This window comes from Homo sapiens, chromosome 12 (genome assembly GCF_000001405.40).
Source record: "Homo sapiens chromosome 12, GRCh38.p14 Primary Assembly".
Classification (NCBI taxonomy): domain Eukaryota; kingdom Metazoa; phylum Chordata; class Mammalia; order Primates; family Hominidae; genus Homo; species Homo sapiens.
The window spans coordinates 19566855-19581573 of NC_000012.12; the positions used below are offsets into that span (position 1 = coordinate 19566855).

General features: G+C 41.2%; 1 long non-coding RNA gene across 1 annotated transcript in view, besides 1 other annotated feature; it reads left to right on the plus strand.

The window, feature by feature from the left end:
• Positions 1-14719, plus strand: part of LOC101928387 (uncharacterized) — a 120046-nt gene that overhangs the window by 13811 nt on the left and 91516 nt on the right. The gene's annotated exons all lie outside the window — the stretch shown is intronic.
• Positions 6291-6380: an enhancer, noted in NCBI's record as "active region_6083". NCBI's record gives its function as "activates an Ori minimal core promoter by ATAC-STARR-seq in GM12878 lymphoblastoid cells {active_cell/tissue: GM12878}" and the evidence as "EXISTENCE:reporter gene assay evidence [ECO:0000049][PMID:35858748]".

The window sequence follows — 14719 nt, forward strand, 5'->3', positions numbered from 1 at the left end:
TATAACAAACTGTCTCTCAGACCACAGTGCAATCAAACTAGAACTCAGGATTAAGAAACTCACTCAAAACCGCTCAACTACATGGAAACTGAACAACCTGCTCCTGAGTGATTACTGGGTACATAACGAAATGAAGGCAGAAATAAAGATGTTCTTTGAAACCAATGAGAACAAAGACACAACATACCAGAATCTCTGGGACACATTCAAAGCAGTGTGTAGAGGGAAATTTATAGCACTAAATGCCCACAACAGAAAGCAGGAACGATCTAAAATTGACACCCTAACATCACAATTAAAAGAACTAGAAAAGCAAGAGCAAACACATTCAAAAGCTAGCAGAAGGCAAGAAATAACTACCATCAGAGCAGAACTGAAGGAAATAGAGACACAAAAAACCCTTCAAAAAATTAATGAATCCAGGAGCTGGTTTTTTGAAAAGATCAATAAAATTGATAGACCACTAGCAAGACTAATAAAGAAGAAAAGAGAGAAGAATCAAATAGACGCAATAAAAAATGATCAAGGGGATAGCACCACCGATCCCACAGAAATACAAACTACCATCAGAGAATACTATAAACACCTCTATGCAAATAAACTAGAAAATCTAGAAGAAATGGATAAGTTCCTTGACACATCCTCCCAAGACTAAACCAGGAAGAAGTTGAATCTCTGAATAGACCAATAACAGGCTCTGAAATTGAGGCAATGATCAATAGCTTACCGACCAAAAAAAGTCCAGGACCAGATGGATTCACAGCTGAATTCTACCAGAGGTACAAGGAGGAGCTGGTACCATTCCTTCTGAAACTATTCCAATCAATAGAAAAAGAGGGAATCCTCCCTAACTCCTTTTATGAGGCCAGCATCATCCTGATACCAAAGCCTGGCAGAGACACAACCAAAAAAGGAATTTTAGACCAATATCCTTGATGAACATTGATGCAAAAATCCTCAATAAAATACTGGCAAACAGAATCCAGCAGCACATCAAAAAGCTTATCCACCATGATCAAGTGGGCTTCACCCCTGGGATGCAAGGCTGGTTCAACATACACAAATCAATAAATGTAATCCAGCATATAAACAGAACCAAAGACGAAAACCACATAATTATCTCAATAGATGCAGAAAAGGCCTTTGACAAAATTCAACAACCCTTCATGCTAAAAACTCTCAATAAATTAGGTATTGATGGGACGTATCTCAAAATAATAAGAGCTATGTATGACGAACCCACAGCCAATATCATACTGAATGGGCAAAAACTGGAAGCATTCCCTTTGAAAACTGGCACAAGACAGGGATGTCCTCTCTCACCACTCCTATTCAACATAGTGTTGGAAGTTCTGGCCAGGGTAATCAGGCAGGAGAAGGAAATAAAGGGTATTCAATTAGGAAAAGAGGAAGTCAAATTGTCCCTGTTTGCAGATGACATGATTGTATATCTAGAAAACCCCATCGTCTCAGCTCAAAATCTCCTCAAGCTGATAAGCAACTTCAGCAGTCTCAGGATACAAAATCAATGTACAAAAATCACAAGCATTCTTATACACCAATAACAGACAAACAGAGAGCCAAATCATGAGTGAACTCCCATTCGCAATTGCTTCAAAGGGAATAAAATACCTAGGAATCCAACTTACAAGGGATGTGAAGGACCTCTTCAAGGAGAACTACAAACCACTGCTCAATGAAATAAAGGAGGATACAAACAAATGGAAGAACATTCCATGCTCATGGGTAGGAAGAATCAATATCGTGAAAATGGCCATACTGCCCAAGGTAATTTATAGATTCAATGCCATCCCCATCAAGCTACCAATGACTTTCTTCACAGAATTGGAAAAAACTACTTTAAAGTTCCTATGGAACCAAAAAAGAGTCCACATCACCAAGTCAATCCTAAGCCAAAAGAACAAAGCTGGAGGCATCACACTACCTGACTTCAAACTATACTACAAGACTACAGGAACCAAAACAGCATGGTACTGGTACCAAAACAGAGATATAGACCAATGGAACAGAACAGAGCCCCCAGAAATAATGCCGCATATCTTCAACTATCTGATCTTTGACAAACCTGACAAAAATAAGAAATGGGGAAAGGATTCCCTATTTAATAAATAGTGCTGGGAAAACTGGATAGTCATATGTAGAAAGCTGAAACTGGATCCCTTCCTTACACCTTATACAAAAATTAATTCAAGATGGGTTAAAGACTTACATGTTAGATCTAAAACCATAAAAACCCTAGAAGAAAACCTAGGCAATACCATTCAGGACATAGGCATGGGCCTTTTCTTTCTTTTACGTGGTTGTTCTGGGTACCACTTCCAGTACTGCATTGAATAAGAGTGATGAGAGTGAGCATCCTTGTCTCATTTCAGTTTTCAATGGGAATGCTTCCAGCTTTTTCCCATTCAGTAAAATGTTGGTTGTGGATTTGTCATAGATGACTCTTATTACTTTGAAGTATGTTCCTTTAATGCCTAGTTTGTTGAGGGTTTTGTTGAAAGCTTTTTCTGCATCTATTAAGATGATAATGTGTTTTTGCCTTTAGTTCTGTTTATGTGATAAATCACATTTATTGATTTGTGCATGTTGAAGCAACCTTGCATCCCGGGGATAAAGCCTACTTGACTGTGGTGGATTAGCTTTTTGATGGGCTGCTGCATTTGGTTTGCTAGTATTTTGTTGAGGACTTTTGCATCTACATTCATCAAGAATATTGGGGCTGGGTGCGGTGGCTCATGCCTATAATCCCTGCACTTTGGGAGGCCGGGACAGGTGGATCACCTGAGGTCGGGAGTTCGAGACCAGCCTGACCAACATGGAGAAATCTCGTCTCTACTAAAAGTATAAAATTAGCTGGGTGTGGTAGTGCATGCCTGTAATCCCAGCTACTTGGGAGAGTCATGAACCCAGGAGGGGAGGTTGCAGTGAGCTGAGATTGTGCCATTGCACTCCAGCTTGGGCAACAAGAATGAAACTCCGTCTCAAAAAAAAAAAAAAAAAAAAAAAAAAAAAAAATTGGCCTGAAGTTTTCTTGTTTCGTTGTGTCTTTGTCAGATTTTGGTATCAGGATGATGATGCTGGCCTCATAGAATGAGTTAGAGAGGATTCTCTCCTCCTCAATTTTTTGGAATAGTTTCAGTAGGAATGGTACCAACTCTTCTTTGTACATCTGGTAGAATTCAGCTATGAATCTGTCTGGTCCAGTGCTTTTTCTGGTTGGTGGGCTTTTTATTATTGATTCAATTTTGGAACCCATTATTGGTCTATTGAGGAATTCAATTTCTTCCTGCTTCCATCTTGGGAGGTTGTATGTTTCCAGGAACTCATCCATTTCTTCTAGGTTTTTTAGTTTGTGTATATTGAGGTGTTCATAGTAGTCTCTGAGAGGTTTCTATATTTCTGTGGGGTCAGTGGTAGTGTTCTCTTTGTATTTCTCATTGTGTTTGTTTGAAGAACGCTCTTATTTGCTTTATTAGTCTAACTAGTCTTCTATCAATCTGATTTTTTCTTCCAAAGAGCAAACTCCCGAATTTGATCATCTTGTATGTTTTTTTTGCATCTCAATTCCCTTCGGTTCAGCTCCGATTTGGTTATTTCTTTTCTCCTGCTAGCTTTGGGATTTGTTTGCTCTTGTTTTTCTAGTTCCTGTAGGTATGATGTTATGTTTTTAATATGAGATCTTTCTAATGTTTCGCTGTGTGTTTAGCACTATAAACTTTTCTCTTAACATGGCTTTAGCTGTGTCCCTGAGAGTCAGATATGTTGTGTTTTTGTTCTCTTTAGTTTTACAGGGTTTCTTTATTTTTACCTTAATTTCATTGTTTATCCAAAGTCAATCAAGAACAGGTTGTTTAACTTACATGTAATTATATAGTTTTGACCAATTTTCTTTTCTTTTTTTTTTTTTTTTTTTGAGACCGAGTCTTGCTCTGTCGCCCAGGCTGGAGTGCAGTGGCGCGATCTTGGCTCACTGCAAGCTCTGCCTCCCGGGTTCACGCCATTCTCCCATCTCAGCCTCCCGAGTAGTTGGGACTACAGGAGCCTGCCACCACGCCCGGCTAATTTTTTTTTGTATTTTTTAGTAGAGACGGGGTTTCACCATGTTAGCAAGGATGGTCTCGATCTCCTGATCTTGTGATCCACCCGCCTTGGCCTCCCAAAGTGCTGGGATTACAGGCTTGAGCCACCGTGCCCGGCCGACCAATTTTCTTAGTGTTGATTTCTATTTTTATTGCCCTGTGGTCTGAGAGTGTGTTTGGTATGATTTTTTAATTTTGCTGATGATCACTTTATGGACAATTCTGTGGTCAATTTTAGAGTATAAGCCACATGCAGATGAGAAGAATGTATATTTTGTTGGTTTTGGGTGGTGAGTTCTGTAGATATCTATTAGGCCCATTTGGTCAAATGTCAAGTTGAGGTCCTGTATTTCTTTTTAGCCTTCTGCCTCAATAACCTGTTTAATACTGTCAGTGGGGTGTTGAAGTCTCTCAGTATTATTATGTGGTTATCTAAATCTCTTCATAGGTCTCTAAGAACTTGTTTTATGATTCTGGGTACTCCTGGGCTGGGTGCATATATGTTTAGGATACTTAGGTCTTATTATTGAATTGAACTCTTTACCATTATGTAATGCTCTTTTCATCTTTTTTTGATCATTATTGGTTTAAAGTCTATTTCATCTGAAATTAGAATAGCAACCTCTGCTTTTTTCTGTTTACTGTTTGCTTGGTAGGTTTCTCTCCATCCTTTTACTTTAAGCTTATGGTGTCATTGCATGTGAGATGGATCTCTTAAAGACAGCGTAGAGTTGGGTTTTGCTTCTTTATCCAACTTGCCACTCTGTGTCTTTTAACTGGGACATTTAGCCAACTTACGTTTAAGGTCAATATTGACGTGTAGATTTGATGCTGCTATCTTATTGTTAGCTGGTTACTATGCAGACTTGATTGTATGGTTGCTTTGGTTGCATTATAGTGTCAGTGGTCTCTGTACTTAAGTGTGTTTTTGTAGTGGCTGGTGAAGGTCTTTTGTTTTCAGATTTAGCACCTTCTTAGGTACCTCTTGTAAGGCAATGGTAATGAATCCCCTTGACATTTGCTTCTCTGAAAATGATCTTATTTCTCCTTCGCTCATGAAGCTTAATTTGTCGGTTTATGAAATTCTTAGTTGTAATTTCTTTTTTTAAGGAATGCTGAGTATAGGCCCCCAATCTCTTCTGGCTTGTAGAGATTCTGCAGAAAAATCCACGGTTAACCTGATGTATTTCCCGTCGCAGGTGACCTGCCTCTTCTCTCTAGGTGCCTTTAATATTTTTTCTTTCATGTTTACCTTGGATAATCTGATGATTATGTGTCTTGGAGATGGTCATTTCTCTGCATTTCCTGAATTTGAATGTTGGTCTCTCTGTCGAGGCTGGGGAAATTTTCCTGGATGATATCCTCAAATACGTTTTCCAAGTTGTTTGTTTTCTCTTCCTCTCTTTCAGGGATGCCAGTGAGTCATAGGTTTTCTCTCTTTACATAATCCCATATTTCTTGTAGTTTTTGTTTATTCTTCTTTATACCTTTTTTCTGACAGTTATTTTTGAGAATCAGTCTTCAAGCTCTAAGATTCTTTCCTCAGGTTGGTCTGTTCTGCTGTTAATACTTGTGATTGTATTATATAATTTCTGTAATGCGTTTTTTGGCTCTATTAGATCAGTTTGGTTTTTTCTTATAAAAGCCATTTCATTTTTCAGCTCCTGGATTGTTTTACTGCAATCCTTAGATTCCTTGAATTGGGTTTTGACTTTCTCCCCAGTCTTGATGATATTCAATCCTATTTATATTCTGAATTCTGGCTCTGTCATTTCATCCATTTCAATCTGTTAAAGAACCCTTGCTGGGGAACCAGTGCCATCATTTGGAGGAAAGAAGACACTCTTGTCTTTTTGAGTTGCCAGAGTTCTCGCACTGGTTCTTTCTCATCTGGGCTGAAGTTCCTTTATCTGTGCTGTAATTTGAGTACAGTCAGTTTTCTGGATGTTTTCAGAGGGCCGAGGCTTTGTGCAGGGTCTTTATTTGTATTAACAGGTGAATTCTTATCTTTGGTTTCACAGGAGGATGTATTAGCAAAACGTTTTTGGTGTTGAAATTTGGGCTGTGATCCAGCAGATGGCGCTTAAGTGTAATGGCCAATTAGGTAGGCTCTTGCTCAGCCATGTGGGTCCTCTGTATTTCCTTGTGTTTGTAGTTGTACTCCCTCTCAGCACTCCCAATGTTTGGGCTCCTCTACTCCTCGATTCTGGCTGCAGATCTCGGCTTGCCACTCCCGGGCTGCACACTGAAGTCCTGAGCCGAGCTCAGGCTTTATGTTCCCTCCACAGCTTGGAGGAAGCAGGGGAAGGGATCTTGGCGGTGGCTGTGGAAGAGGTCCTTTCACTTGTCTCTTGGGGATCCATCCCAGAGAAATGCCGAGCCGCTCCCAATCAGCGGGATTGGCCGAGGGTGAGGTGGCTGGGTTGTGGGCCTAAGCCAAGGGGCCCGGCCTGGTGGTGAACAGGGGGGCCGATGGCTCACAGGAGAGACAGACTGGCCTCTTCTCCTTAGGACGGCTGTGGTGTGCTGGAAGTGTGGGTAAAGCACTCAGGGTTTTTGTTCCTTTCCCAATCTGAAGGCAGCAAGGGCAGGACCGCTGCGGTGGCAGTGAGAGACGGGCTTCTGGTTGTCTCTGGGAGCTCTCTATCTTGGAGATGCGCAGAGCTGCTGCTAATGGGAATGTTCAGCCAGGGGGTGAGACGGCTGCGCTGCTGGCCTGAGCCGGCCCTGCTTGGTGAAGAGTGGGGGCCGAGGGCTCACAGGAAAGGAGACTGGGCCCCTCTCTCTGCGGTGACTGTGGCGTGCTGGAGGCGCCAGTAAAATTTCCAGGCTCTGTTCCTTCTCCAGTCCAAGGGCAGCAAGGGCAGAACCGATGCAGTGGCTGCGACAGAGGGGCTGTCGGTTGCCTTTGGGACCGCCCCCCCTCTCCAGGGAAACTCAGAGCCCCCAGCAAAATGGGTGTGCTCAGCCGGGGGTGGGGCGGCTGCTCTGTGGTCCAGAGCTGGGGGCCCTGCCTGGTGAAGAGTGGGGGTGGGGGCTCTCAGGGAAGAGAGACTGGGCTTCTCTCTGCATGGTGGCTGCCATGCGCTCGCTCGAGGTTCCAGAGTAGCGAGCAGGCCCTTTGTTCCTTCCCTAGTTCAGGCTGGTCGTGCGGGGGCCCAGGTTGGGAGGCCCTGCCCAGTGAGGAGGAGCAAGGGCTGTCACCCCATGGAAAACAGTCTGGCAGCTTTTCCACGAAGCGCTGCTGTGCTGGAGGCCTGTCTTAGTTCCTAATCACAGCTTCCCTCAGGAACCTGGGGGGCAACAGGAGAGAGGATGGCAGAGCAGCAAAAATGGTGGCCTGCCTGCATCCTCTAGGAGCCGTGGCCCAGGGAAGTGGAGAGTTGCCCCCCACCTAAGAGTTAGGCGGGGCTGGCTGCGCTAGGGTCCCAGGCCAGTGGGTCTTGTCCAGTGAGGTGCAGTGGTGCGAGGCTCAAACTCCTGGGCTCACACAATTCTCCTGCCTCGGCCTAAGTGCTGGGATTACAGGCATTAGCCACTGCGCACTCTACCTTTTTTTTTTTTTTTCTTATTTTTTCTTCCAAACAGGATTTTGAGAGCCAAAAGAAAGGAACTGAAAGAATCTAGGCACATTATACTATAGCTATATAATTAGCAAGAAACTTGAGGAAGAATGAGATTGCCTCATCTGTGGCCTTGGGGAGAGGAGAGGAGGACATCTGGGTTATGGGATTAGAGTTTACAGGAGATTAGAGTTATGGGGTGATAAGCCCTCTGCTGGAGGGTGGAGAGAAATGAGGTGGGTATCAGGAACCTGGTGAGTTTCACTGGTGGCTGTCCTGAGGCAGCAAATGGGAGCCAAGCTGAAGCTTATAGAGAATTCACCCATCAAAGGTGGACCATGTGCCATGTGTGGATTGTGCAGTGGGCCACCTGCCCACACACCAACACTGACAAGCTCTATCAAAATTGTCCAGTCTGTACATTTCAAGAGTTCAGTGTACTTCTCTTCCTGTTTTTCCCCTCTTCTCTTCAAATGCAAGGAAAGGGTAATCTTAAGATTCAGAAGAGTGATTTGTTTTTCCCCGCGTAGTGAGCAGTTTTCTCGCCCCCAACTAATAAACCATCTATTCTTTTCCCATTAAGCAATATATATCACATAAAAATTTCATTTAGAAATGAGCCTGTCTCTGGCAGATTCACCATTTTAATAAGAGGCCCTAAACTTTTCCATGCTTTCCATGAAAGCTAAAGGTCATTAGCACAGAAGGAAAAGAAAGAGCTGTGAAACATATCCATACTCTGTCAATGACCTGAGGTGGGGTAGGCAACTGCAACTGCAAGACTCATCAATTGAACATATGTAGGTTTTTAGTATCTAGTAGATTACACAAAACACATACAGGACTTTGTAAATTTGAAGGGAGAAGGTTGGAGAATATGGCAAAGGAGGATCATATCCGTACTAGTCAGCTAGGAAAAACAAGCTGGGAAAAAATGAGAACAGAGTAGATGAATTGCATAGGAATTTCTGAAATATTCTAAGAATGCCATGGATTAAATAGGATTTTATGAACTTGCCTGGGAAGCTAATGATCGTTTCTATGAGAAAATGTATTTCACTTTTCAACTCAGGATATCTGGAACATATCTCTCTTTGTCACAGTTCCAGAAGAATTCCCAGGAATTTAGCTTTCCCTTTACTCTAATCTCAGAAGGAGCTATACCCTCTTTGAAGCTCCATAGAGAGAAATAGGAACAAACTTACCCAAAACACACGGTGGGTATGAGTGCTGATTTTTATCCCCATGGAGAAAGGGAATTTTACAGCAATGAGCATAGGGTCTCTGGTGAAAGGTCATATCCATACATATCTTTATAGAAAAAAAAAAAGAAGGCTTGGAAATAGTGAGAACAAAGCCCAGAGCCCAGGGCTTGGTGGGAAAGCAGGCCCTGGCTCCCCTTCCTGCATGTGAGTTTTGACTTCTTCCTGTGCTGGTCAGGGCTGCAAATGGCTGATAATATCACTGAAGCCTGGACTATCTTCAAAGCCCGACTGGCACAAAATGACATATTAATGTAGTATCTCATTTCCTTTGCATTCTGGGGACAAGTGGGATTGGCTCGATGCCCAGGGATATCCTGTGAACTCATGGAATAGGACTGGGCTAAGCCTGGCTAGCACCTGACAGATCCTGTCTATGGAACTAGGGACATTTTTTCTCACTGCTTGAATTGGTTGGAACATAAAACTAAGATGGCATTTGATCTGTCTTGCAAAGATTTGGTTCAGAAAAATCTTACAAATATGCTGATAGTAACTAAAATTTTCTCTGTATCTGTTGCTTAGATGCAATAATTATGTGTTGAAAATTGTATATATATCATATTTATATACTTTAGCACCTAGAAATGGAAGTATTTAGTGTTATGGAAAAACAGATGGATAGATGAATAAGCTCTCTCTCTCCTCTATTTTTCTTTCCCCATTTTATACTTTTTAAAAGTTAATTTAATAGGTAGATTAAAGACATCTTTAAATGACTGTAAAAATAAAGTTCATGTTTAGACAAATTTCCCAGTTGGAATTCTCTGTTTAAAACACTCTGTTTTCATGACCTGCACTGTTTATTTTACATTCAGAGATGTGAGCACATGGGAACCATTTGCAGAAAATGTCTCTGTTTACTTCTAAAACTGATATAATAGAGAAGCAGTGGGTAGAGGTTCAACCAGCTGACTTTCTAAAGCTAGCTGTATAATCTTTCTTTTTATTACTACTGACATGCATTTATGAAAAGAAAATGGAAGTTACGGAGTGTAATGAAGAGATAAATTCAGGCTATCTCTGAAAGTCTATGTAACACCCAGAATTTACAGAAATAAGGAAGTTCATAGTGATCCTTTGTGGTTGAAGTCTGGTAAGAAATGCTCAATGCCATTTTACCTCTTTGGACTGACAAATAATAATTGATTATAAAATAAAATGGACAGTCCCAGTTTGGACTGTCAGCACATCTACTACCAACAGTAGATTGCAAGAGCCTTCCAACTCATCTCTCTACACTCAATTTCTCCCCCCACACTCAATCCATCCTACAGCCTGCTGCCAGAGTGATCTTTAACACTGACCATAGCTTTCCCTGTCTTAAAATGTTGTAATGTTTTTTCCCTGTTGGTTTTGGGAGAGGTGAAAACTTGAGGTCTGTTGGTTAAAACAAGCTGAAGCTAGTTTACTTAAAAAATGTATATATGTGTGCGTAGTTTACTTAAAAAATTGTGTGTGTGTGTGTGTGTGTGTGTGTGTGTGTGTAATACACACAGACACACTTTTTCCTCCATAAACTGTGAGCCTGGAAAAACATGTAATAGTTGCCAACTGGGAAATTTGACAGGAAATCTAGATAGCCTGCTCTTATTAAAAACAAACAAACAAACAAAAAACCCAGAAGCTCTGGTAATGCCAGCCTTACATTTTTGCATAAGAATAATTACATTGTTCTCTTTGGAAGGACATGATTTCCCCTGTTTTTCACAGGATTCTATACTTTCTATTCTTCTTCTCATTCATATGATCTCATTTTGCTAATTTCCATGATCTATTTGGTATTTACAGGTATTTAAGTGTTTAACTCTTGGACTGTGGGCTCAAGTCCAGGTCCTTAGATTTGTGTATAAGAACCATCTGGTTTACATTAACTTTTTAAGGCTCATTTCTCACATCTTCTCCTCTTTAATTTTATTCTCCAAAAATAAGGTTGTCCTAATACACTATGTGATTTTTACTATTTCTAGGTCTTTCTATCTATCTGAAAAGGCTTCTCTATTTCCTAAATTATTTCTTCCCTCTTGAATGTGTTTCCTGATTTCCTTAGCGTTAGACATTCTTTCTTGGTATATATTTCTTGATACTAAAAATACTGTACTTTCATTATTGATTGTATTACTCTATATTTTACTTATTTGTATAAAATAAGGAGACACTTTCTTTTATATGAGCAGCAGGTGTAAAATTTCTTGTGGGGAAATCCAAGCCTTTGAAGAGGAGTAGCTTTGACCAGCTTGTTCAGGAGCTGAAGTGGAGGCCTCCAGGCTGAGGTGGGAGCTGTCCTGGGACTCAGAGAACCAGAGGAACCTCTGCATGAGTTACTGTTATGGAGGCAAACAGGAGGCTATGGACTGGGGCTGGAAGGAAAATTGAAGGACACAGAGAAGAGACTTAGGAGACTTGGGAGGAGAGAATTTTTTTTTTTTTTTTTTTTTTTTTTTTTTGAGACAGTCTCACTCTTTTGCCCAGGCTGGAGTGCAGTGGCACAATCCCAGCTCACTGCAGCCTCAACCTCCTGTGCTCAAGGGATCCTCCCACTTTAGCCTCTGTAGTAGCTGGGACTACAGCCACGGATCACCATGCCTGGCTAATTTTTTTGTATTTTTTTGTAGCAATGGGTTTTTGCCATGTTGTCTAGGCTAGTCTGGAACTCCTGGGCTCAAGCGATTTGCCTGTCTTTGCCTCCCAAAGTTTTGGGATTCCAGGCATGAGCCACTATGCCTAGCCACAAGAACTTTCAAATGGAGGATTTTAAAAGTAAACACCACCAGAAGAAGCATTAGTTGAAAAGCATTAAAAGAGACTGACCCTGGAGAATGGAGTAGGAATAGAAAGCAGGTAGGGTGAGGCAATTGCTTTTCACTGTAAGCTGTTTATAGTTTTTGAATTTCAAAACTCAAGTGCATGTAATAGTTTGATAAGTGATTTAAACATTACTTTTAGGAAAACCTAAATGTAACAATTCATTGCGTGTAATGTGAAACATGTGCATGGTGTAATAAATCACCAAATTTGGAGTGATTGTTTTTTTCACGAAAACCAGTGAAGAAGCTGATATCTGAGGACTGGCTGATGTGAGACCAGAAGTGTCAGCTTGTGAAGGTACGAAAGCAGCTAATATCTTAGCCACATTTGTATTTTTCTAAATGCACTCTTAAAAAAATTATCAAACTAGTACATGCCCTGGATTTAAAAAATTACAGAAGGCTGGCCGGGCATGGTGGCTCATGCTTGTAATCCCAGCACTTTGGGAGGCTGGGATGGGCGGATCACCTGAGGTCATGAGTTCGAGACCACCCTGGCCAACATGGTGAAACCCCGTCTCTACTAAAAACACAAAAAATTAGCTAGACTTGGTGGTGGGTGCCTGTAATCCCAGCTACTCGGGAGGCTGAGGCAGGAGAATCGCTTGAACCCAGGAGGCTGAGGCAGGAGAATCACTTGAACCCAGGAGGCGGAGGTTGCAGTGAGCTGAGATTGTGCCATTGTACTCCAGCCTGGGCAACAAGAGCAAAACTCTGTCTCAGAAAAAAAAAAAAAATTACAGAAGGCTTTAAATTAAAGAATCACAGTCCCTCTCACCCCCTCTGCGACTGTTTTCCAGCTACAGTCTCATCCTCTAGGGTCAACTTCTTTTAATTCTTTCAAACTTACTCTATATTGAGCTCTTCTGGTTAACTTTATATCTCCAAATAATATGCTAAGGTTACTGAGGCAGATTATATTTTCTAAAGATCATCACAACAATACCTCCTTTTTCCACATAACTCTCTAGAAACTGGCTTTTCTCCTATCAAGAGGTAGAGTATTTGCCCTTCCTTTGAACCTTGGAGACAGCCTTTTTGACTGTCTTGGCCAATAGACTATTGTAGAAGTGATGTTATATGACTTCCAAGGCTAGGTCCTAAAAATGTCATGAGCTTCTGCCTTATTTTTTTTTTGAGATTTTTGTCCTTGGCACTTAGCCACCTTGCTGTGAGGAAGCCTAACACACAAGTAGAGTGATCCAGGTTGAGGGAGCTGAGCCTTTGGCCCTCAGCTCTGCAGCCCTAACTGAGTTACCAGTTCACATTGAGCATCAGCTTGTCATACATGTGCATTAAACATTTTATTTTATTTTTTATTTTTCTTTGAGACAGAGTCTCACCCTGTCACCCAGGCTGGAATGCAGGCACGTGTTCTTGACTCACTGCCACCTCCGCCTCCCAGGCTTAAGCGATTCTCGCATCTCAGCCTCCTGAAGAGCTGGGATTATAGGCTTGCGCCCTGATGCCTGGCTAATTTTTTTATTTTTAGTAGAGATGGGGTTTTGCCATGTTGGCCAGGCTGATCTTGAACTCCTGACCTCAAGTGATCTGCCCCCTCGGCCTCCCAAAGTGCTGGGATTACAGGCGTGAGCCACCATGCCTGGCCTACCTGTGCATGAAACATTTAAAACATGCATTGTTCCAGATCCAGTTTGATCGATATCAGTTGATGATTCCTGGAAATAAGCTCCTGCCAAATCCTGCCTAAATGGCAAATTTATGAGCAAAATGATTCGTTGCTGTTGTTTTAATCTACAGATAAGTTACTATTTCTTGATTTATTGGCTTGAGGGTTTATCTCTTACTGCTGTGCTAGATTGATTTAGTGTCCTTATAGATATTTTTTATTAGTCTATTGTACCTTCTTGTAGAGTGTTCTTTCATCTTTCTGTTTTCTATTATCTTTTTTTGTGACTACACCTGATAGGATGTTTGACTTCTTGAATTGATCTGAAATGTCTCTTGTTTTTTTCTCTACATTTTTTTTGTTTTTTTCTATGGAAGATTTTCTCAACTTTATTTTCCAATTCTTCTATTGACTATTGTGGTAGGCTAAATAATGGCACCCAAAGGTATCTATTCTTAATCCCTGGAACCCATAAATATTACCTTATATGGCAAAAGGGAGACTACTCCCTTATAAAGCAAAAGGTGTGATTAAATTAAGGACTATGAGATGGAGAGATTACCCTGGATTATCCAGGTGGGCCTAAGGCAATCACAAGTATCCATAGAAGAGAAGGCCATATTATGAAAGTGCTATAATTTGGATATGGTTTATCCTCACCAAAACTAATATTGAAATTTGATTCCCAATGTGGTGGTACTGGAGGCGGGGCCTAGTGGGAGGTATTTGGGTCATGAGGGTGGATCCCTCATGAATGGGTTGGTGCTGTTCTCACAGCAGTGAGTTCTTGTTCTGATGAGACTGGATTAGTTCTCTTGAGAATTGATTAGTTCCCTCAGGAGCAAGTTGTTATATTATAAAGTGAGGTTCCTCCTCCTGTTTGGTCCTCTCTCTTTGCATGTGTTAACTTCTGCTTTGGCCTTCTCTGCCGTGTTATGATGCAGCATAAAAGAAGCACTTCTGGCTTTGTCAGAAACCAAGGCCATACCCTTGAACTTCCCAGCCTGCAGAATCACAAGCTAAATACACCTTTTTTCTTTATATATTATCCAGTCTCAGGTATTCTGTTATAGCAACACAAAATGGATTAAGACACTTGCTGAACCTTAATTTTAGCTCAGCGATACTGATTTTAAACTTTGGGCCTCTAGAACTATGAGAGAATAAACTTCCATCATTTTAAATCATCAAGATTGTGGTAATATATTACACAAGCCATAGGAAACTGTTATAGATGGCAAAAGAACACATGAAAAGATACTCAACATTGTTACTCTTGGGAGAAGTGCAAATTAAAACCACAATGAGATATCACTTTACATCTATTCGAATGGCTAACATTGAAAAAATAAACTGA